General features: G+C 37.8%; 1 protein-coding gene and 2 pseudogenes across 4 annotated transcripts in view; 2 read left to right on the top strand and 1 right to left on the bottom strand.

Moving 5' to 3' along the window:
• INVS (inversin) overlaps nt 1-23431 on the bottom strand; it is a 202933-nt gene that overhangs the window by 174352 nt on the left and 5150 nt on the right. For all 4 annotated transcript variants that reach the window (NR_134606.2, NM_001318381.2, NM_001318382.2 and 1 more), the window contains exons 2-3: nt 23197-23326; nt 1275-1441 (exon numbers count right to left, since the gene is read on the bottom strand). Coding sequence is in view for 1 of the 4 variants with exons in the window: in NM_014425.5 (NP_055240.2) it covers nt 1275-1441; nt 23197-23302 (273 nt within the window). In the remaining 3 variants the exon portion in view is untranslated. The remainder of the gene's footprint in view (nt 1-1274; nt 1442-23196; nt 23327-23431) is intronic.
• On the top strand, nt 6924-7389 carry DPPA3P10 (DPPA3 pseudogene 10; annotated as a pseudogene).
• RPS2P35 (ribosomal protein S2 pseudogene 35) lies at nt 10150-11108 on the top strand (annotated as a pseudogene).

Below are 23431 nucleotides of genomic sequence, written 5' to 3'. Positions count from 1 at the left end.
TGAGATTGAAAATGAGGGAGATTTTTAAAAAAATTACTATAATAAAAACCAAATTCAAGAGAAGTAACTTTGAAAATAACCTGACAGACCTAACTGAGAAGCGCATATAACTAGCATATTCAGTAGTATAACTTAATGTCAGCCTTTTTTTATGCATTCAACTAATGAAAGGTATTTTTCTAACCCCTTAATTAATTAGCTATATCTGGTTCACATTTTTAAATAGAAAATAACTCTAATAGTTCCCGCTGGATCTAACTCATTTTAATTGCTTTTTATTCAAAAAATACAGAAATCTAAAATAACAAAAAGAAAAATACCAGGCACTGGAAATCTATTTTATGGACCAAAATTTTATGGAAGAAAAATAGTTTTTAGGTGAATAAGTCTTTAACTAAATGTAGAAGCTTCCTATTTTATCTGTTTGATGGGTTTAATCTTAAAAATCTGAGCTCTTAATAATACATTTAAAAATGTGAAATCATTAATATTGGCAACATAGTTTTAGATTTTAAAAAGTTGAAAATACATTCAGAAAATAAATTTATTTTATGCTTCTTAATGCCACATATTTCAAGCGACATTTCAACCTTTTAAATTAAATTAAATTAATTAATTAATTAATTTAGAGACAGGGTCTTGCCCTGTCACTCAGGATGGAGTACAGTGATGTGAACTCAGTTCACTGCAGCCTCAACCTCCCAGGCTCAAGTGATCCTCCCACCTGAGCCCCACAAGTAGCTGGGACTGCAAGTGTGCGCCACCATGCCCAGCTAATTTTTTAATTTTTTGTAGAGATGGGGTCTCACTATGTTGCCCAGGCTGGGATTTCAACTTTTTATAGTAAAAGTAATACTCATTAAGGAAAAAATTTTAAACAGTGAAAAGTAAAAAAATTCCATATATATTCCCCAAATTTAAACCCAACCACTATTAATATCTTTGAGTATTTCTTTTTGGTCTTTATTTTTTCCCTATACATAGATTGGTAACATTGTTTCATCACATTGTATATATAAATTTGATCACTTTTTTCCCAATAAACTTTAGATCACAGAATAAATTCTACTGTTTGAGGAACCTGAAATGCAGCCGCTGATAGTTATCTGTGCTTTTACTCTCTGCAGCTTAAAGACAGCTTTTAGAGAAAATATATAAAACCTATGAGTCATGCATTTGAGACTTCTTTATTATCTGTCCATTGCATAGTTCCACTAATCAACTAGCAGACATCACACAAAACATTTACTCTTCAAGGAAATTTTACTTCTCACCTTCTGGGCTGCAAGATGGAGGGCTGTTCTCTGGCTATGGTCAGTTTTATTCACATCTGCTCCTGCCTTCAGAAGAGCATCTGCACAATCCAATCTGTCAGCCAACACGCAATACATAAGTGGTGTTCTCCCAAACTGATCTTCTTTGTCTTTAAGAGCAGAGTTTCCTATAAGGATAAGAAACAGATAGTGATATTTGATAATTGTTATTACTAATATAAGTAGGAACTATATTCGCTGTTTATTATCAAACATTGTGCTAAATGCTTAAGTATATCATCTTATTTTTACTTGTCCTAAGAAGTAGATATTACCATTGTCATATTATAGGAAACTGAGGCTCAAATAAGTTAAGTAACCAGTCTATGTTCACACTGAAAGTAGGTGGGGCTAGAATTTAAACTGATGACTCAATCATATTATGCTGAACTAACATTTTGAGATACAGAGCTACTTATGTTCCTCCCTCACTCACTCTTGTCTTTTGAAACAAATATTTAATTAATGCCAATTGTACACTAGGCATTGTGGTATGTTTTATGAGTGATACAAAAATGAATTACAGGCTGGGTGCGGTGGCTCACGCCTGTAATCCCAGCACTCTGGGAGGCCAAGGTGGGCAGATCACTTGAGGTCAGAAGTTCAAGACCGGCCTGACCAACATGGTGAAACCCAGTCTCTGCTAAAAATACAAAAATTAGCCAGGCGTGGTGGCGGGCGCCTGTAATCCCAGCTACTCGGGAGGTTGAGGCAGGAGAATTGCTTAAACCCAGGAGGCGGAGGTTGTAGTGAACTAAGATTGTGCCATTGCACTCCAGCCTGGACAACGAGAGTAAAACTCCATCTCAAAAAAAAAAAAAAAAAAAAATCACAGTTGATTTCCCTTTCTAGACAAGATGACAAGATAGAGCAAGTACATAGCATCCTCATCCTCCTGCTAATTACAACTAAAATCCCCAGGGCAAAAGGCAAAATAAATGACAGGCAGAGAAGGGAAGGCATCTTGGACTAGGAACTTTGGAACTTGAGAGACAACCTGGTGGTAAGTTCCCTGAAGCGTTTTCTGTTTGCTTGTTTGCTTTTGCCTCCCATTATGGGCTACAGTAGCCTATAATCCAGAAACACCAAGGTGCACAGATGCCAAAGTTCTCAAGAGAAGTCTACTCTCTCTAGTAAAAAGACTGGGAGGCAGGTAACTCTGCTGAGTGAACCATTTGACTATGCTCTACTCAAAACACATACAATAAAAGAAACTGCACCTCTTTTCCCCACTGGACACTATAGAGACCGTTGGGAGGAGCCCTGTCAAACTATCAATGCCCCGAATTAAGCAAAGGATAGCAATGAGGTAGTATTTTACCCCTTTCCAATTAGAGAGTAGGAGATAGGAATATGGAGAGGACAAAGTTGGAGGAAGTAATTCTTTAAATTGGTACAAAAAGTCAGGACACTTTTGAGCAGCCCATGTGTGAAACTGGTCAGAATCAAGATAGCAAAAGCTCTGAGAATTGAACTATAGTTAGATCATTGCCTTGGTTCTAAATGGGCCTGAGCAGCCCAGAGGTGGGGCAAACCAGAAGAGCCCTGCAAGATCTCTGAAAACTAACTTGAAATTTGAACCACAAAATTGAAAGAGAATGTTCATTCTAAACCTTGACAGATTGTCCGTTTACTAAAGTAAGATATTTAAATAGGATCCAGAGTCTCATAATACAGAAAATGTCAAAGATATAATCCAAAATTATGAAACAACTCAAAAGTTTGGAAAATATTAATTTAAACAAGAAAAGATAATCAACAGGCACTGACACTGTGATGACACAGATATATTAGAATTATATGACAAGAATTTTAAAACAACTCTCAAAAAAGTGCTCCAACAACCAACTATGAACACTCATGAAACAAATAGAACATCAGGAATGAAAAAAGAGAAGCAGAATGTAAATATGTGAGAAACATAATAGACTGTTTTTAACCTCTTTAGTTTTTTTTTTTTTTTTAATGAGGGTCTCACTGTGTTGCCCAGGCTGGTCTTGAACTCCTGGGCTAAAGCAATCCTCCCTGCCTCAGCCTCCTGAGTAGCTGGGGCTACAGTGCATGCCTGGCTTATCCTCTTTAATTTTTAGAGTTATGTTTCGATGATTGAAAGCAAAGATAACCTTGCTGTATGATGTGGTTCTCAGTTTATGTAGAGGTGATTTTTAAGATAACTATATCAAAAAGAAGGGTAAAGGGACCTAATTAGTGATAAGGCTTCTATGTTGTACTCAAAGTGGAAAATACAGACTGTGATAAAATAAGTATACATATTCTAATACCTAGAACAATCATACACACACACACACACACACACACACACACACACACACTCAGAAACAAATAAAAAACCTCCAATGAAAACAAACTATACAAAGAGATTTATTTAAAAACACAACATAGACCCAGCAGGGTGGCTCACGCCTATAATCCCAACATTTTGGGAGGCTGAGGTGGGCGGATCACTTGAGGCCTAGAGTTCAAGACCAGCCTGGCCAACATGGCAAAAACCCGTCTCTACTAAAAATACAAAAATTAGCCGGGTGTGGTGGTGGCACATGCCTGTAATACCAGCTACTTGGGAGGCTGAGGCATGAGAATCACTTAAACCCAGGAGGTGGAGGTTGCAGTGAGCTGAGATTGCACCACTGCACTCCAGCCTGGGTAACAGAACAAAAACCACAATATAAGATACCACTTCACATACACTAGGATGGTTATAATAAAAAATATACATAATAACAAGTATTAATGAGAATATGGAGAAATCAAAATCCTCATATACTACTGGTGGGAATCTAAAATGGTAGAGTCACTTTGGAAAATATTCTGGAAGTTCCTCAAAACATTAAGTAACCATTTGACCCAGCAATTCCAATCCCAAGTATGTACCCAAGAGAAACGAAGACATATGTCCACACAAAAACTGGTACACAAATATCCATTGCAGTATTATTCATGAGAGCCAAAAGGTGGAAATAATGCAAGTATCCATAAGCTATTCATCAACTGACGAATGGTTAAACAAAATGTTGTATAGCTCTACAGTGGAATATTACTCAGCAAAAGGAATGAAGGTCTAGTATATGCTCAACATGGATGAACCTTGAAAACATTATGCTAAGCAAAAGAAGCCAGTCAAAAAATACCACATATTATATAATTATATTTATGTGAAATATCTGGCACTGGCATATCTATAGAGACAGAAAGTAGATGAGTAGTTGCCTAGGACTGGGGGTTGGGCACAAATTTGAAGAGTAACAGCCAAAGGGTGAAGGGTTTCTCTGTGGGATAATGAAAGTGTTCTAATATCATTTGTGGTGACGTTTGTCCAACACTGAATACACAAAATCACTCAATTGTATACTTTAAATTTTGAATTGTATAGTATGTGAATTATATCTTAATAAAGCATTACAAAAAGCTCTACCATATATAAATTAAAATGGAATACTAAAAATATTCAAGAAACGGAAAGGAGGACAGGAATGAAAAATAGAAGGAACATGCAGTGTTCTACACAATAAATTGGAAATCTTAAATCTTAACATTCATAATTACATTAAATGTAAATGATGTAAATACATCAATAAAAAGGCTGAGATATAAAAGAAGACTTGATTAGGCTGGGCGCAGTGGCTCACGCCTGTAATCCCAGCACTTTTGGAGGCCAAGGCGGGCGAATCATGAGGTCAGGAGATCGAGACCATCCTGGCTAACATGGTGAAACCCCCTCTCTACTAAAAAACAGAAAAAATTAGCTGGGTGTGGTGGCAGGTGCCTGTAGTCCCAGCCACCTTGGAGGCTGAGGCAGGAGAATGGCGTGAACCCGGGAGACGGAGCTTGCAGTAAGCCGAAATCGTGCCACTGCACTCCAGCCTGGGCAACAGAGCGAGACTCTGTCTCAAAAAAAAAAAAAAAAAAAAAAAAAGAAACTCACTTAAAATACAATAACATAGGAGGTTAAAAGTCAAAGAATTAGCAAAACTATAATAAATACTAATGAAATGAAAGCTGGAGTTAAGTATATTAATATCTAATAAGGTAAACTTTAGAGAAAAGACAATTACCAGAAACAAATAGAGATATTATATAACAATAAAAGGGTCAATTCACCAAGAATACATAAAATTCCTAAATGTATACATACTAAATCACAGAGCTTCAAGATACAGGCAGCAAAAACTGATAGAATAGAAAGAAACACTTGAAAACACAATTATAATTGGTAACTTCAACACTCTTCTCTCAATAATTGCTGGAACCACTAAAATGAAAATCAGCAAGGACACAGAAGAACTGAACACAAAAATAAAGCAACAGGATCCAACTGGTATTTATTTAACACTTCATCTAATGACAGCCAGAAATTCAATCTTTCAAAACACCCATGGGACCTTGACCAAAATATACAATATACTGGGTCATGAATGAATACTAACAGATTTAAAGAAGTGAAGTCATACAAAGTGTATTATCAGATGACAGTGTAATTAAACTAGAAATCAATAACAGAATAATAACAAGAAATAACAAAATATTTAAGATAATCCATGGGTTAAAGAGAAAATCTCAAGGGAAATTAAAAAGCATAATTAAATGAATAAAAACATGTTGTTGTAAGGTTCTTGCACCACACATGAGGGAAGCTTAGAAGGAAATATATAGTAATGAATGCTTTTAATTAGAATAGAAGAATAGTTTCAAATCAATTATCTATGCTTCTACCTTAGAACACTAAAACAGAAGAGCAAATTTAACCCAAAACAAGCAGAAGGAAGTACATAAGAAAAATAAGAACAGAGAGCAATTACATTAAAATCAGAAAAAAATAGAGAAAATCAATGAAGCTAAAAGTTGTTTCTTGGAAAATTAAATTAATAAATCTCTAATCAGATTGATCATTAAAAACAGAGCAGACACAAATTCCCAGTATCAAGAATGACATCACTACAAAGCCTGCAGATATTAAAAGGCAAATAAGAGAATGTCATATGCTATAAACTCACAATTTAAGTGAAATGGATAAATTCCTTGGAAGATATACTCCTTCAAAGTCCACTTAAGATATAGATACTCTCAACAGTACTTGTGGTAGGATAATTCTAACATGGCATCCAAGACTTCCAGCCCCTGGTATACATGCCCCGTATGATCCCTTCCTCTTGAGTGTGGGCAGGACTATGATGTCACTCCCATGATTAGATTTTGTTATGTGGCAAATATGAAGGGATTTTGCAAATGTAATTAAGTCTCTTAATCATTTAACTTCAAGTTAATCAAGAGAGATTAGTTTGGGTTGCTTTCACCTAATCAGGTGAGTCTTTCAAAAGAGTGTCTAGAGGTCCGAGGTAGAAATTGTAGAGATTTGAAGCAGCAGAGACACTTTCCTGCTGGCCTTGGAGAAGCAAACTGCAATGAATTTTAAAATTGTTAAAAAAAAACTGTAGTCAACTTGTTCATCACTATTTGTTGGAGTTTAGGTTTTCAGGCTCTTTCTGGGCTACATAGTTCTTTCCAGGGTACCTTGTAGCAATTTGAGAGTTCAGCAACACATTCTGCTGGGACTAAAGATCCAGAAGGAGCTTAGAGCTATGACTAGACCATTGATCGACTCATCACAAATGTGCACCTTGATCCCAAAGTCTTCACAAATGCTCACCAAAGAAAGATTCCCAGGATGATTCAGAGGCCTCTCACAACTTCTGCTCCAAAACGTTAATAAAGAACCTTGATAACTTGATTCTCCACCCAGGTACCAAATTCCCTTCCCCTCCACCAGAAGGTTCACCCCAACAACAAGATAGAAAAGCAAAGACCTTCCAGGACATCAGAGATGGTTTGCCTTACAGGAGGAGAGGAAAAAGGACATCGTTATTTGTGGAAAGAAAGGATGGTAAAACTGAGATACCTGTTACTCAACAGATTTTTCTCAGCTTAAACGAAAGCTAACAAATATTGGGCCTAAGAGGGTTCAGAATGAATCAAGAATTGAACCATTCAAATGTGGCTGCAGTTTCTACATGTATCATAGATGGGATCCTTCTGAGAATGCTAGAATAGGAAATTATGACAATGAGGTGATTTAGTCATAAACTTTATTCTTGTACTTTTCTTTCTTGCTGGCAAATTTATGCAGCAGTCTATGCTAGGATAGACTGTATACCAATAATAACCTATCATGAGTGATGTCTTTTTCTTCTTGTATCTTTTCCTTCTTACCTTGATAGCAGTAATTTATAAGGAATCTGTGTAAGTTTGAATGTATTTGAATAACTCGAATATACTTTAGCTCTACTTTTTAATTTGAACCCAAAGCAGCACCAATAAGTCTGAATTATTATCATGTGCTGGGATTACAGGCATAAGCCACCACACAGGGCTCCCATATGTTTTAGAACCTAAGTCAGTGAGATGAATCCCAACATCTGGAATTTGAAGCACGGTAACTTGTGGGGAAAGAATGAAAAGAAAACATTGAGAAGTTTGATTAGAGCATAACTAATTAGATTTTCTGGTTTTTAAAAATTTGAATTATATTAAAAGAAAATTCCAACATGCTATTTTTTCAATTTTCAGTAACAAATAAATGTGCATATAGAGAAACAATAAGGTTGACATATTAAGTACCTTTAAAAAAGTGAATTCTGGACCAGGTGCAGCGGCTCACGCCTGTAATCCCAACACTTTGGGAGGCCGAGGTGGGCAGATCACCAGATCAGGAGATTGAGACATCCTGGCTAACATGGTGAAACCCCATCGCTACTAAAAAATACAAAAAAATCAGCCAGGTGTGGTGGCGGGCGCCTGTAGTCCCAGCTACTCGGGAGCCTGCGGCAGGAGAATGGCGTGAACCCGGGAGGCAGAGCTTGCAGTGAAGCTGAGATTGCACCACTGCACTCGAGCCTGGGTGACAGAGTGAGACTCTGTCTCAAAAAAAAGAATTCTGCCAATGTGCAGTGGGGAGAGAATCCTAAATCTCAGATGAGACCTTAGCCCTGGCTGACGCCTTGACTGCAGTCTTGTGACACCACGAGCAAAAGCCTCAGCTTGAGCAGTGTCTAGATTCCTGACATACAGAAACTGTGAAGTAATAAATGTTTGTTGTTTGTAAGCTAAGTTTGTGTTAATTTGTTACACAGCAATAAAAACCTAATATAGTACTTTATTAAAAAATTAAATTAAATTCATAATTAATCCCCACTATAAGGTACTACTAAGAATAATTTGTTAAAAACTTCCCAGAGCAATCTTTGTAGAAATGAATGTGCAGTTTTAAAATTGTTATGAAAAGGCAAAAGAAGTAGAAGAATAAAAAGGTTTTGAAAAAAAGAACAAAGTTGAAGAACTCACATTGTATGATATCAAGGCATATTGTAAACCCACAGTAATGAAGAGAATGTGGTAGTGGCAAAGAAATAGACTTATAGACCAATAGAACAGATTTGAGAGTATGTAAATAGACACACACAGACATGATTAACTGACTCTGACAAAGATGCAAAGGCAAACCAATAGATAATCTTTTAAATAAATGGTGCTGGAAAGACCAGGCATGGTGGCTCATGCCTGTAATCCGAGCACTTTGGGAAGCCAAGGTGGGTGGATCACCTGAGGTCAGGAGTTCGAGGCCAGCCTGGTCAACATGGTGAAACCCCATCTCTACTAAAAGTACAGAAATTAGCCAGGTGTGGTGGTGGGCACCTGTAATTCTAGCTACTCAGGAGACTGAGGCAGGAGAATCGCTTGAACCTGGGAGGCAGAGGTTGCAGTGAGCCGAGATCATGCCACTGCACTCCAGCCTGGGCAACAGGAGTGAATAATATAATAATAATAATAAATGGTGCTGGAAAAATTTGGCATTCATATACAAAAACAAAAACATATACAAAAACAAAAATAAACCCAAAGCTTTCAACCTATATTTTGTATGTTAGTCAGTTCAAGCTGCTGTAACAAAGTACCATAGACTGGGAGGCTTATAAAAAACAAAAATTGGGGCTGGGTGTGGTGGCTCATGCCTGTAATCCCAGCACTTTGAGAGGCTGAGGCGGGCGGATCACTTGAGGCCAGGAGTCCGAGACCAGTCTGGCCAACATGGTGAAACCCCGTTTCTACTAAAAATACAAAAATTAGCAAGGTGTGGTGGCGGGCGTCTGTAATCCCAGCTACTCAGGAGGTTGAGGCAAGAGAATCGCTTGAACCCGGGAGGTGGAGGTTGCAGTGAGCTGAGATATTGCCATTGCACTCCAGCCTGGGCAACAAAGTAAGACTCTGTCTCAACAACAACAACAACAACAAAAATTGGCTGGGAATGGTGACTCCTGCCTGTAATCCCAGCACTTTGGGAGGTTGAGGCAGGAGGATCACGTGAGGCCAGGGGTTCAAGACCAGCATGGCCAACATAGCAAGACCCCATATCTAAAAAAAAAAAAAAAGAAAAAAAAAGAAAAAATCTGTCTTGGTGGTATGCACCTGTGCCTAGCAGTTCTGGAGGCTAGAAGTCTGAGATCAGGATGCCAGCATGATCAGGTTCTGGTGAGGCCTCTCTTCTGAGTTGCAGACTGCTGACTTCTGATATCCTCACATGAAAAAGAGGGCTTGAGAGCTTTCTGGGGTTCCTTTTATAAGGGTGTTAATTCCATTCACGAGGGCTAAACCCTCATGACTTAAATTATCTCCCAAAGACCCCGCCTCCTAATATCATCACATTGAGGGTTAGGGTTTCAAACATATGAATTTTGGAGGAATACAAATATTCAGTCCATAATAGCACCATATATAAAAATTACCTCAAAACGTATCATAAACTTAAATCTAAAACCTATAACTGCTTCTTCTCCGAGAAAACACCAAATGGCTGATAACGCCGGTGCAGCGGGAGGTGGGCGGGGGGGGCGGGGGGCCGGAGGCCCTGGTGGCCCTGGGATGGGGAACCGCGGTGGCTTCCGCGGAGGTTTCCGCAGTGGCATCCGGGGCCGGGGTTGCGGCCGTGGACGGGGCCCGGGCTGAGGCCGTGGAGCTCGAGAAGGCAAGGCCGAGGATAAGGAGTGCATGCCCGTCACCAAGCTGGGCCGCTTGGTCAAGGACATGAAGATCAAGTCCCTGGAGGAAATCTGTCTCTTCTCCCTGCCCATTAATGAATCTGAGATCATTGACTTTTTCCTGGGGGCCTCTCTCAAGGACGAGATTTTGAAGGTTACGCCGGTGCAGAAGCAGACCCGTGCTGGCCAGAGCACCAGGTTCAAAGCGTTTGTTGCTATCGGGGACTACAACGGCCACGTCGGTCTGGGTGTTAAGTGCTCCAAGGAAGTGGCCACCACCATCCGTAAGGCCATCATCCTGGCCAAGCTCTCCATTGTCCCCGTGCACAGAGGCTACTGGGGGAACAAGATCGGCAAGCCCCACACCGTCCCTTGCAAGGTGACAGGCCGCTGCGGCTCTGTGCTGGTGTGCCTCATCCCTGCACCCAGGGGCACTGGCATTGTCTCGGCGCCTGTGCCCAAGAAGCTGCTCATGATGGCTGGTATCGATGACTGCTACACCTCAGCCCGGGGCTGCAATGCCACCCTGGGCAACTTCGCCAAGGCCACCTTTGATGCCATCTCTAAGACCTACAGCTACCTGACCCCCGACCTCTGGAAGATTGTATTTACCAAGTCTCCCTGTCAGGAATTCACTGACCAACTCGTCAAGACCCACACCAGAGTCTCCGTGCAGCGGACTCAGGCTCCAGCTGTGGCTACAACATAGGGTTTTATACAAGAAAAATAAAGTGAATAAAGCCTGTTAAAAAAATAAAAAATAAATAAAACCTATAACTATATAAAACTTTTAGAAGCAATTGAAGGTGAAAATCTTCCTGATTTTGTGTTAGGCAGAGATTTCTTAGATATGATACAAAAGAATAATCCATAAAAATTAATAAATTAGATTTCATCCAAATAAAGAAATTGTGTTTGAAAACACAATTAAGAAAAATTTTTAAAAAGCCACAAATTGGGAGGAAATATTTGCAAAACACATATTTGATAAGGCCTTTTATTCCAGAATAAATAAAAACTTTTACAATAGAATAATAAGATGGATAATGAAACTTAGGCTGGGTGCAGTGCTCACACCTGTAATCCCAGCACTTTGGGAGGCAGAGGCAGGTAGATTGCTTGAGTCTAGGAGTTTGAGACCAGCCTAGGCAACATGGCAAAACCCCATCTCTACTAAAAATATAAAAATTAGCCAGGTGCAGTGGCTGGACTCATGTCTGTAATCCCAGCTACTTAGGAGGCTGAGGCATGAGAATCACTTAAACCCGGGAGGCGGAGGTTGCAGGGAGCCGAGATTGCACCACTGCACTCCAGCTTAGGTGACAGAGTATGACCCTGTCTCAAAAAAAAAAAAAAGAAAAAAAAGAAAGAAAAGAAATTAAAAGCCAACAGACACATGAAAAAATGCTCATCACCACTGGCCATCAGAGAAATGCAAATCAAAACCACAATGAGATATCATCTCACACCAGTTAGAATGGCGATCATTAAAAAGTCAGGAAACAACAGGTGCTGGAGAGGATGTGGAGAAATAGGAACACTTTTACACTGTTGGTGGGACTGTAAACTAGTTCAACCATTGTGGAAGACAGTGTGGCGATTCCTGAGGGATCTAGAACTAGAAATACCATTTGACCCAGCCATCCCATTACTGGGTGTATACCCAAAGGATTATAAATCATGCTGCTATAAAGACACATGCACAATGTATGTTTACTGTGGCACTACTCACAATAGCAAAGACTTGGAACCAACCCAAATGTCCAATAATGACAGACTGGATTAAGAAAATGTGGCACATATACACCATGGAATACTATGCAGCCATAAAAAATGATGAGTTCATGTCCTTTGTAGGGACATGGATGAAGCTGGAAACCATCATTCTCAGCAAAGACAAAAAACCAAATACTGCATGTTCTCACTCATAGGTGGGAACTGAACAATGAGAACACTTGGACACAGGAAGGGGAACATCACACACTGGGGCCTGTTGTGGGGTCGGGGGACGGGGGAGGCATAGCATTAGGAGATATACCTAATGTAAATGACGAGTTAATGGGTGCAGCACACCAAGATGGCACATGTATACATATGTAACAAACCTGCACGTTGTGCACATGTACCCTAGAACTTAAAGTATAATAAAAATATATATATATAAAATAAAAATAAAATAAAAAAAGAGAAATTAAACGGTGGCCAAAAGGTTTTAATAGACATTTCACTAAATAAGCATATGAAAAGACTCTCAACATCATTAACACACAGGGAAATGTAAACTTAACCTATAATGCGATACCACTGCACATCTATTAGAATGGCTAAAATGAAAACAATCAAAAGCAAACTTCACAATACCAAATGCTGTTAAGGATGTAGAACCTAGTTGTAGAACTATTAATAGAATTCTCAGCCATTGTTGGTAGAAATGCAAAATGGTATAGCTACTATTAAAACTGTAGCCTAATAATTATGGCCTAATAATTTTTCACTTAAGTGTTTACTCAGGAGAAATAAAAGCATGAAAGTTTAAGTTAATATAAAAACTTGTATGTGAATATTTACGGCAGCATTATTCATAATTGCTAAACACTGGAAACATCCCAATTGTCCTTAAACTGCAAAATGAGAAAATAATCTGCAGTACATCCATAAAATGGAATATAGCTCACTAATAAAAAGGAATGAACTACTGATCCACTCAACAACATGGAAAATTCTCAAATGCCTTATGTCAAGTGAAAGAAATCCACTTCACCAGGCACAGTGGCTCACGCCCATAATCCCAGCACTTTGGGAGGCTGATGGGGGGAAGATCCCTTGAAGCCTGGAGTTTGAGACCAGCCTGGGCAACATGGCAAAACCCCATCTCTACAAAACACACACACACACTTAGCTGGGCATGGTGGAACATGCCTGTAGTCCCAGCTACTCAGGAGGCTGAGGTGGGAGGATCGCTTGAGCCTAGGAGGTTGAGGCTGCAGTGAGTCATGATTGTACCACTGCTCTTCAGCCTGGGAGACAAAGTGAGACTCTGTCTCAAAAAAAAAAAAAAAAAAAAAAAAAAAAGAAAGAAATCTGCCTCAAAGGGCATATATATCATGTGACACATTGGCATAGGATTGTGGAAAAGTTAAAACTATAGAGACAGAAAACAGACCAGTGGTTACCAGGGACTGGAATATGTGGAATGTGGGGAGAAACTGGCTATAAAAGGACACAGTTCTAACATTTTGGGGCATGATAGAATTGTTCTTTATCTTGATGGTCATGGTGATCACATGATTATATATTTCTCAAAATTAAATAACTGTATACGAACAAGGGTGAAATTTACTGTATTATATACCTCAATAAATTTTAGTTAAAAACAATAACTACAAAAGATGCCATGGCTCCAGCTATGTATTGTAAGTGAAAAAAATGTTGCCACTTTTGTTACAGATAATCATCAAGTATTCATCTCTTACTAGCTGAGGGTAATTACATCTGGGTTGAACAAGAGGGAAGCCAGTTACTTCCAAGGTATCTTGGCCTGAACTGTGCTAATGGAGGAAGTGAATAGACAAAATGAAAGTGTTTTCTTTGGAAAATAGAATGCTAGAAATGTCAATGGGTACAGTTAGATATAAGGAATAAGTTTTGGTGTTCTATTGCACAGTAGGGTGACTATAGTTAACAATACTGTATTGCATATTTCAAAATAGCTAGAATTTTGAATGCTCTCACCACAGAGAAATGATAAATGTTTGAGTTAATGCATATGCTAAATATCATCATTTGATCATTACACAATCTATACATGTATTATAACATCACACTCCACCCCCATAAACACATACAATTAGTATGTATCAATTAAAACTAAAACAAACAAACAAACAAACAAACAAACAAACAAAAAAGACACCAGATAAATGCCTGGGTTGTTTTGGGCATGAAACTAAGCTACTGTTTTAGTTTGCAATACTTCGACATATATTTTAATCTTGGATACGCTGGAACCCAGAAAGACTTCCTAGCTTTTCAGCAATTTACTTCGCTGGTAAAAAGCAAGAAAGGTCATTGCTCTGGAAATTTGAAAGAGCCTTACAGATGTATTCAGGTTGTGTGTAACTCCTAGAGGAGGCAGATATTCTTTTTCAGAACTTTTTTGAAGATGGAGGCAAATTTTGCATTGGATTCAACACATATAATAACAGAAGCCCTTATGCACAAGACTCTGTGTAGTACAACAGTATATTCTTTGTACTAGAGCCTTCAATATCTAATCTAGAAGATTCCAAAGATTCTATCACTGTATTTATAGATAAAGATTTATTTAAACTGAAACTCATTAACAGAACTAAAATGTAGTATAAGAGCATGTTCCTTTTATCAGTTTGAGTCCTTCTGGAGTCAGTGATACTTATAGAGAATATGCCATAATGAGACTAGTCTCTAGTTGTCTTTCATGATTAAAGGGCAGTCTCTACTGGCATCTTGTTAGGTTAAGCAAAGATAGTAGTAGCTAGTATTAGCAAGATAACAGTAATTCATTTACACTTTCTGCCTAGAGAGACATTCCTCCTTAGAAGCTTTAGTAAAGGAGAGGATTAGGAACTATGGTCACAAGAGTAAGTGCTGAGAAACAGAGGCCATCTCACATTCTGGGATAATCCTAACTCGAGCTTATCCAACCTGTGGCCTGTGGGCCACATGTAGCCCAGGAAGGCTTTTAATGCTGCCCAACACAAATTTATAATTTTTCTTAAAACATTATGAGATTTTTTTTTTTGCGATTTTTTTTTTTTTTAGCTCATCAGCTATTGTTAGTGTTAGTGTATTTTATGTGTAGCCCAAGACAATTCTTCTTCCAATACCCAGGAAAGCCAAAAGCTTGAACACCCCTGTCCTAATTGATTAGGCTCCTCAGGGTCAAAGCAGAGTCAGCATCATGGGGTTAATAGGCAACTCACCTTCAAGGACACAGAACTTTAGGTCAATCCTGTCATCTTCCTAAGTCTTATATAAGATACAGGGAAACTTCAAGCCTTCTCTTTGTTCCCTGACATACATTGTTTCTTTGTAACCGATATATGTATTTCCCAGAAGAGAAGATGTTATTGGGTTATGTCACCACAATCCAATATTTTGTGCCTATAAGGCAAAATTTGTCTATTTGAGGAAATTGAAAGTATATATCCCCCGGCTGGGCGTGGTGGCTCATGCCTGTAATCCCAGCACTTTGGGAGGCTGAGGCGGGTGGATCACCTGAGGTCAGGAGTTCGAGACCAGTCTGGCCAACATAGCAAAACCCTGTCTCTACTAAAAATACAAAAATTAGCTGAGCATGGTGGCATGTACCTGTGGTCCCAGGTACTCGGGAGGCTGAAGCAGGAGAATCACTTGAACCCGGAAGGCAGAGATTGCACCACTGCACTCCAGCCTGGGTGACAGAGTGAGACTCTGTCTCAAAAAAAGAAAGAAAGAAAGAAAGAAAGTATATATCCCCTAAATGATTAGAAAAAGCAGCATTCAACCTCACTTAGGTCCTGTCTTGAGTAGCTCTAGGGGGACAGTGGCTTCATGGCTAGTTTCTGAATAATGAGGGTACCATTAGGTTCTGGGCTTCCTGGCCAGTAACTGAGCGAGGTCTGTGCCTTTATCTATCCACCCTACTCTCTTCCTTAGTTTCCTCACTTATAACATTCAGCTAATACTTGTCCAATCTACACCGCAACTTGTTTGATGATCCAATAAAACAATGTATTGTTTGGAAATATTTGGTAATTGTAACATGTTGTACAAACGTAGAGCTTATGATGTAAACTAATATTCACTGGATGGCAGTGCATTTAAATTTGCATTCCTGTCAGGAACAGTTAATATAGAAAGCAGCTGGCTACTGTGCTGTGTTGTGCTAATTATTCTGGCAACTGTGGAGATGGCCTCTAATCCATGACCAATTGGTGCTTGCTCAACGTGGCTGGCATTCTGCCTGTGCTCTGTCTCAACACAGTCCAGAAAGCTGAGCTGGAAGCATGACTGGAAAGCCACTGCTCTACCGCATTCAGTTATTTTAAGGCTTGTGGAAGCATAAGAGTACATATGGTTAATGGGCTGGTATGTGCAGAAACCAGAGCGCCAACTCTAGCAGTTAGAGGAAATGACTGTCACTTGCAGTTATAGTTGTGCTAGTCCGCACAATAGCTACAGCAACACAATGCCCAATACAAGTAACAAGAGTAGTCTCTATTTGTATCTTATTTGCTTGTTCTAAAATGTTATATTTGCATGGCATCCAAGATGTATTTATTTCATCTGATTTCACCCACTTCTTACTTTACATATTTTATACTGTTACAATCTTGGGAAGGCATTTTGCTGTCATTAAAAAATCTCTGCTTATTGTTATAGAGTGACAACATGGGAACAATGGAAAGAACATAGGATTCATCATCAGATAATTTGGTTTGAGGCTCAACTTTGCCAGTTATTAACTGTGCAACTAAATTTCTCAACTTCTGAGTCTCAGTGTCCTAACATGCAAAATGAGAATAATAATAACATGAGACATACTGTATTTTGAGAGGACTTGAGATTTTATAAAATATTTCTATAACTTATAATTTGTGCAGGTATGTTAAAATATCATTTTCACTCACTGCTATTTCAAAATTATCATAGCTGTAAGACTTGCCCCAACACCTTGCTATTTAATACATTCATAAAAAATTATGGCAGAATATTGTTATGTCTCAACTTAAAAATATTTGATATTTCAATATAACTGGTTTCCTTTGTAATCCTCTATATTGCATTTCAGCTCTTAAAAATATACATATATTTTTGTTCTGAGGAGTCCAGAAGCTTACCAGATTGCCAGAAGGGCCCATAGCACAAAAATGTTAAGAAAAATCCCATCTAGATAATCATTCATTTCATCATGCAAGGTTCACACCTAATCGGTTCTTTCTTTCTTATCTTTCTCATTCCTATTTATTTATACATATGAAAGTGCACGTGTGTACAAAAATATCTACCCATACATTGAGGTCCCATACTTTAGCAGTTAAAAGAATGGACTCTGGAATCAGACTTCTTGGCTTTAATCTCAGTTCTGATACTTCTTAGACAAGTTACTTAACCTCTCTGCATCTCAATTTCCTTATTTAAAAATGAGGGTAATACTAATACCCCAAACTCTTCATATTATTTCACTGTTAAGTTAATGAGTTGCCAAACAATACAGTGGCTGGCACATAAAACATAACTTTATAAATGTTAGCTAATTTTATTACTATTGTTAGGATGGATGCATAAACATTTAAGTATATTTATAAACACATTTGCATGTAGGCAAGCATTTTAAAAACATTTAATGACTCTAGCTTTTAAGGTAGGGATTGAGGTAAGGGAAGAAGTAACCTGAAATAGTACCTCTACTCTGTCATTTATGAGGCTCACTTCCGTATCTAAATACTGTGTCAGAAGATGTTAAAAACAAGTAGAGGCCGGGCGCAGTGGCTCAGGCTTGTAATCCCAGCACTTCGGGAGGCCGAGGCGGGCGGATCACTTGAGGTCGGGAGTTCGAGACCAGCCTGACCAACATGGAGAAACCCCGTCTCTACTAAAAATACAACAAATTAGCCGGGCATGGTGGCACATGCCTGTAATCCCAGTTACTTGGGAGGCTGAGGCAGGAGAATCACTTGAACCAGGGAGGCAGAGGTTGTGGTGAGCCGAGATCACGCCATTGCACTCCAGCCTGGGCAACAAGAGTGAAACTCCATCTCAAAAATAAATAAATAAATAAACAAGTAGAGGAAATGATTTAGAGAGATTATGCTGCTCAGAACATGGACAGTGAAACAAAAGTTGTAGTAGAATCAGAATGGTGCTTCCTGGTCACGATACCACTGCAAGCGACCTCAAATATTATTGGCAGTAATGACAACATTGATCATTACACACCATGCATATTTACAAATTATTTTGTTTAGTTTTCACAAAAAACCCACAATATTAATCTTTGTTGCATTTAGTGCTCTTTCATATTGAGACATCTGAAGCTATGAAAAACTTGATTATTTTAGTCTAAGCTGACATAACAATAACAGTAATAGGATATTAACTTATTGTCTACTATGTGTCAAGTACCATGCTAGATATTTTACTGTCATTATTTCATTTAACTCTCACACAAGTGAAATATTATAATCTATAGTTTACGGATGAGGAAACTGAGGCTTAAAAATTAAATGGCTTAGCCAAGATATTACTACTAATAAATAACAGTTAGAACTTAAAACTCAGGTTTATCTGACTCTAAAATCTATACTTTTTTCTACCAATACTACACTGTATAGTATTAAAATGAATCTACTAAATTCTGTTCTCAATTACATTTCTAGTATTCATTCAAATTATTTGAGTTTGGTGTTAAGAGAAAAAGCTAAATATCTATAAATGAGAACCATAGCATATTCAGATTTTACTATGTATGTTTATATTTTAAGGCTCAGAAGTAAGCCCTAATACATCTGAATCTAGAAGCAGTAAGTTATGGTAAAACATTAATCCACTGTATTAGGTTAAACACTAAGAATTGCTACTGAAATGATGTTTCATTCAGAGAAGGCCTCTCCAGTCCTCCTCCAGGACAATGGGCAGCACAGAAAGTGTTCGATTTAATTCGTTGTGTATGTAGAAAGAGACACTCATCTGTTTCCATGGAGTCAAACACATCACTGACATACTTCTCCATGGAAACAGAGAGGGGAAAACAGAAAATGCTAAAGTGAATGAATTCACTGAGCAGTTGGTGAACAAGGATTCAAGAAAAAAAATTCATCTGTAGTACTATGTCACTAGTTTAGAAAAGAGAAATAGCATATATTTAGAGATCATCAAATATGTGATACATAAAAAGATGTTTAAAATACATTGAAATTACCACCTGGCATTCATATGCATAGAAAAAAAATTACATTGAAATTTAAGATGAAACAGTTATTATTTTTGCACAAATATACAAATGCTGGAAAATACTCTAGAGCAAAGGTACACAGAAAACATAATGGCACAATTCTTAAAAGATGAGGAGTGGCACCCTCAGTCAGTAATTAATAAGAAGTTCCTCAGACAAGATGATAGAAAACAGAAAAACAATTTATAAATAAGTTTATTAGCTACCTACTGGCTTCACATCATGATTGCTTTTTGGTTTTTAAGGATTTTCTCTTTGGGGATTTTCAAGGTTTCAGGTTTTAATAATAACACATTAATTAATCTGTATGACTGAGCCATAAAAATATAAGTGTTTTTAATTTATAACATACTGCACTTTTTTCTTTGAAGGTTATATTTTTAATTAAAGCATTAATGAATTCATTTTACTTGGTACTTTTTCTTCATACGTCCTGACTTAAAATTTTTTTTTCTCATGGAATTTAGTCCCAATCTGCTCCTCAATTCAATTTAATTCAACTCAATTCATTTTTAGTCCTGGCCCTCAAGATGATTATAGACTACTTGGGAGAAAAGATACTTAAAGAATGATTAAAATATTTATTCATTCCTTCAACAAATATATTTCTTATGTGCCAAGTACTGTGCTGGATTTTGTGGATTTAGTGATGAATTAAACAGACCCAGACTACTTTCATGAAGGCCACTAGCTTATGGAGGAGAGAGATGTTAAAATATTCATACACATAAATATACAGTGATAATCTGAAACAAGTTCTATGAAGAAAAACTACAGAGGGCCAAGAGGGAATACAATGAACAGATTTCATTGAGACTGGATGGTTAGCAGGCCTCTTTGAAGAAGTGACCTTAAAATTGAAATCTCAAGGATGACTAAGAGTTATTCAGACAGAGAATAGGGAGAACAGCGTTTCAGGCAAAAGCCCTGAGATGAAAAAGGGCTTGGCAGGTGTGAGACACTGAAAGAAGGCAAGTTTTACCACGTGAGGTAAAACGTGAGGATGGACAGGTAAAGAGATACAAGTAACCTGTCAAATTTTATTCCAAGTATAATGGGAATAATGAAAGAATTTTGAGCAGGAAAATGACAAAAATGTAATATACATACATTTTTTAGTTCAAGTGAACATGGAACATTTAGCAAAAAGTCAAAAATGGCAAAATTAACTAAAGTGTTTAAGGATGTATATGTAGGTGGTAAAACCACAATGTAATGATTATTATAAAAGTCAAGATAGCCTATTCCTCTAGTGGGGAGAGAAGGATGCATTAGGGGCTTCTGGGGTTACTGACAATGTGCTGCTCCTTAACCTAGGTGGTTTAAGTGGATGTTTGCTTTATGTTTATTTGTTAAATTGTACATATAAGTTGTATGCACTTCTCTATATGTATACTTCAAAATAAGAAAGTATATTTTGTTTTAATAAAAGAGTGAATTAAGGTAAATAAGTGTGGACAATGGGTACAGCTGGCCCAAGAATCTTGGTTTTGGTGACAGACAGCAATATTTGCCCCCCATTCATTCTTTCATTCTTCTTTTCAACAATTGAGCACCGTGAGTTTTAGCTGGGCATGATACCATCCAGGGCAAGACTTTTTTTTTCAGCTTCTTTTGTTCTAGGTGTGGCTTTGTGGTCTAAGTCTAGTCTACCTCCTTACTGACAAATTGCTTTCCCTGTGCTCTCTCTTCCTCCTTCCTGCTGACTGGGCTATGACTATAATGAACGTATCTGCCTTTGACCCAGAAATAGAAGCATCATGTTGAGAATGGAAGAACCAAGGCCTGGCAGTATACCTAAATGGTTTTGTGAAATGGAGATATCTATCTAACCTAGACTGCCCACATAACTGTGTACTATTACACAGCTGGGTTCAACTGCTTAGTAGTTGCCAGGAAGATAGGTTTGGTCCATCTAGAGTTGGGATTGCAATATTATGAGAATGAAATATACTTCTATCTTATTCAAGTCATGGTTGTAGCAGTTTAGCCTGTGCGCTAATGCAGTCGTGAGGGAAAGTTGAAAATGGCAATACCTAAAGGGAGATGAAGAAACAGAGATGGGATTTTTAAATAATGGAAACAATGAAGCATGTTTAAGTGTTGATGGAAAGAATTTAGCATAGAAGAAAGGTTGAAGATATAGTAATCAGAGGGGGAAAAAAAGAAGCAATGTCCCTGAGAAGACAGGAGGGGATGGAACACAGAGCATGTGTGGAAGAACTGGCCTTTAACAGAAAGATGGATCTTTGCTCTGTTTTAGCAGGAAGATGAAGAGAGAAGATGGGTACAGATCGAGGTAGATTTGTAGATACCATACTGAAAGATGAGGGAGTTCCTACTTAATGTCTTCATTTCCTCTAGTAAGCCTACTGCATTAAAGAGAATGAAAGGAGGGGGAACTGGCAGTCACAGGATTCAGTAGAGTGAGAGGTATGAAACATTCATTACAGAAAAAATGTGGTATGATGAGTAGTAAGTACTGAGTGCCTATTTGAAGTGGGTAATCATGAATTTGGGGTGCTATCAATCTTTCAGCTGGATTCAACTGCTTAGCAAGATAGGTTTGGTACATCCAGAGTTGAGAATGCAACAGTCAAGTGCAACAGAAGGCAAAAAAAAAAAAAAAAAAAAAAAAAGGGAATTTTTCCAAGAGAAGGATTTTAATAACAGACATAGAATCAAGGCTGAGTAGTGAGGAAGGAAAAGACAGAAGGAAAACTGATGGTCAAAACTAGAGAAGCTAGTGGATTGGAGGTCTCAGTGAGCATGGAAAACTATTGTTTGTCATCAGTAAGTGAGCTGAAAGTAAGAGTTTTAGTTGAATGGTAGAATGTTTGAGTGATTTGGAGGTGGTGGAAAATGTCAAGTTCCAGTGAATGTAGATAGCTGAGGTAAAGTAAGGATAAGCAGAGGAAGAGAAATCTTCACAGAGTGTGAGATACAATAGTTTTGTCTTTAAAGATAAGTAGGAGTTTGTTTAGCACAGAAGAAGGTTAACAGAGTAGCAGATAGAAAAAAGGTGGGGAAACAGAACATATGGAGAAAGTGAGACAAAATTCATGGCTTATTGGGAAATAGAAGTAACCTCTAGCTTAGCCAGAGGTTACGGTACACCAGTAGAAGTTCCTGGAGAAACTGCAAATGTAGGGTAAAAACAAAGTCGGAAGGAACAGGTATGAAAGTTCAAGTAATTTGGACTTTATTTTGTAGCCCAAGTTGTCAATCATGATGTCATCAGACACTGGTGTGAATAAAGACTACAAATAATATATTTTTATTTTTTTCTCTTTGGGATTTGCAACTTGTGAATATCTGGATTTGTGATAGAAAGATGGATCTTTGCTCTGCTTTAGCAGGAAGCTAAGGTTCTAGAAAATTCTTAGCTATTCTTTGTTCTCTTTATTCTCTCCTCTAGAACTCCTGCATTGGACCTCTCTATATATCACTTATATATGCAAATCACAGGGGGAACATTGAATCAATTTTAAATCATTAAAAATTAAATCATTTGTAAACTTTAATACTTTGGGTATATATTAAATGTTAAAAGATTATCCACTGTTTCATTCGAGATCTGTTAACATAAAGATGAATTCATTCCCTTAGTACCTTAGAATATCTATCTAGACTTAGTGCTAAATACATAGAAATTTCTCAAGTACTTTTCACCTAATCCTAACCCATATTTTTAAGTTTTAGGACTTAATTCCTTTCTTGTTCATGTGTTGGAAGAAAATATAAATAATAACATATTTCCATTAAAATGTATGAGTACATTGCAAATTAAAACTAACATTAACAAACTTCCTCAGGACAAACAGTTGCTTTTAAAGTTTCTGTACTTAAGGGGACTGCTTACCTACGATGAGCCTCTGTAGAGCACCCTTATCTCCATTAACGGCAGCAGCATGGACTTGTGATGCTAATGATGAACCAGCAAACAGCAGGTTCTCTGACTTGTTCATAGTCTTCTTAGCAACCGGAGCAACCTGAAACAATGATTCAGACAATGAGCGCATGCAGCAAACATTTCTGAAACCTGTCTCATCAGTTCCAAGTGGGTATTTTATAAATATGGCTTACTAGAAATACTT

This window comes from Homo sapiens, chromosome 9 (genome assembly GCF_000001405.40).
Source record: "Homo sapiens chromosome 9, GRCh38.p14 Primary Assembly".
NCBI classification, from domain to species: Eukaryota; Metazoa; Chordata; class Mammalia; order Primates; family Hominidae; genus Homo; species Homo sapiens.
This window is presented reverse-complemented; position numbering and strand designations above follow the sequence as displayed.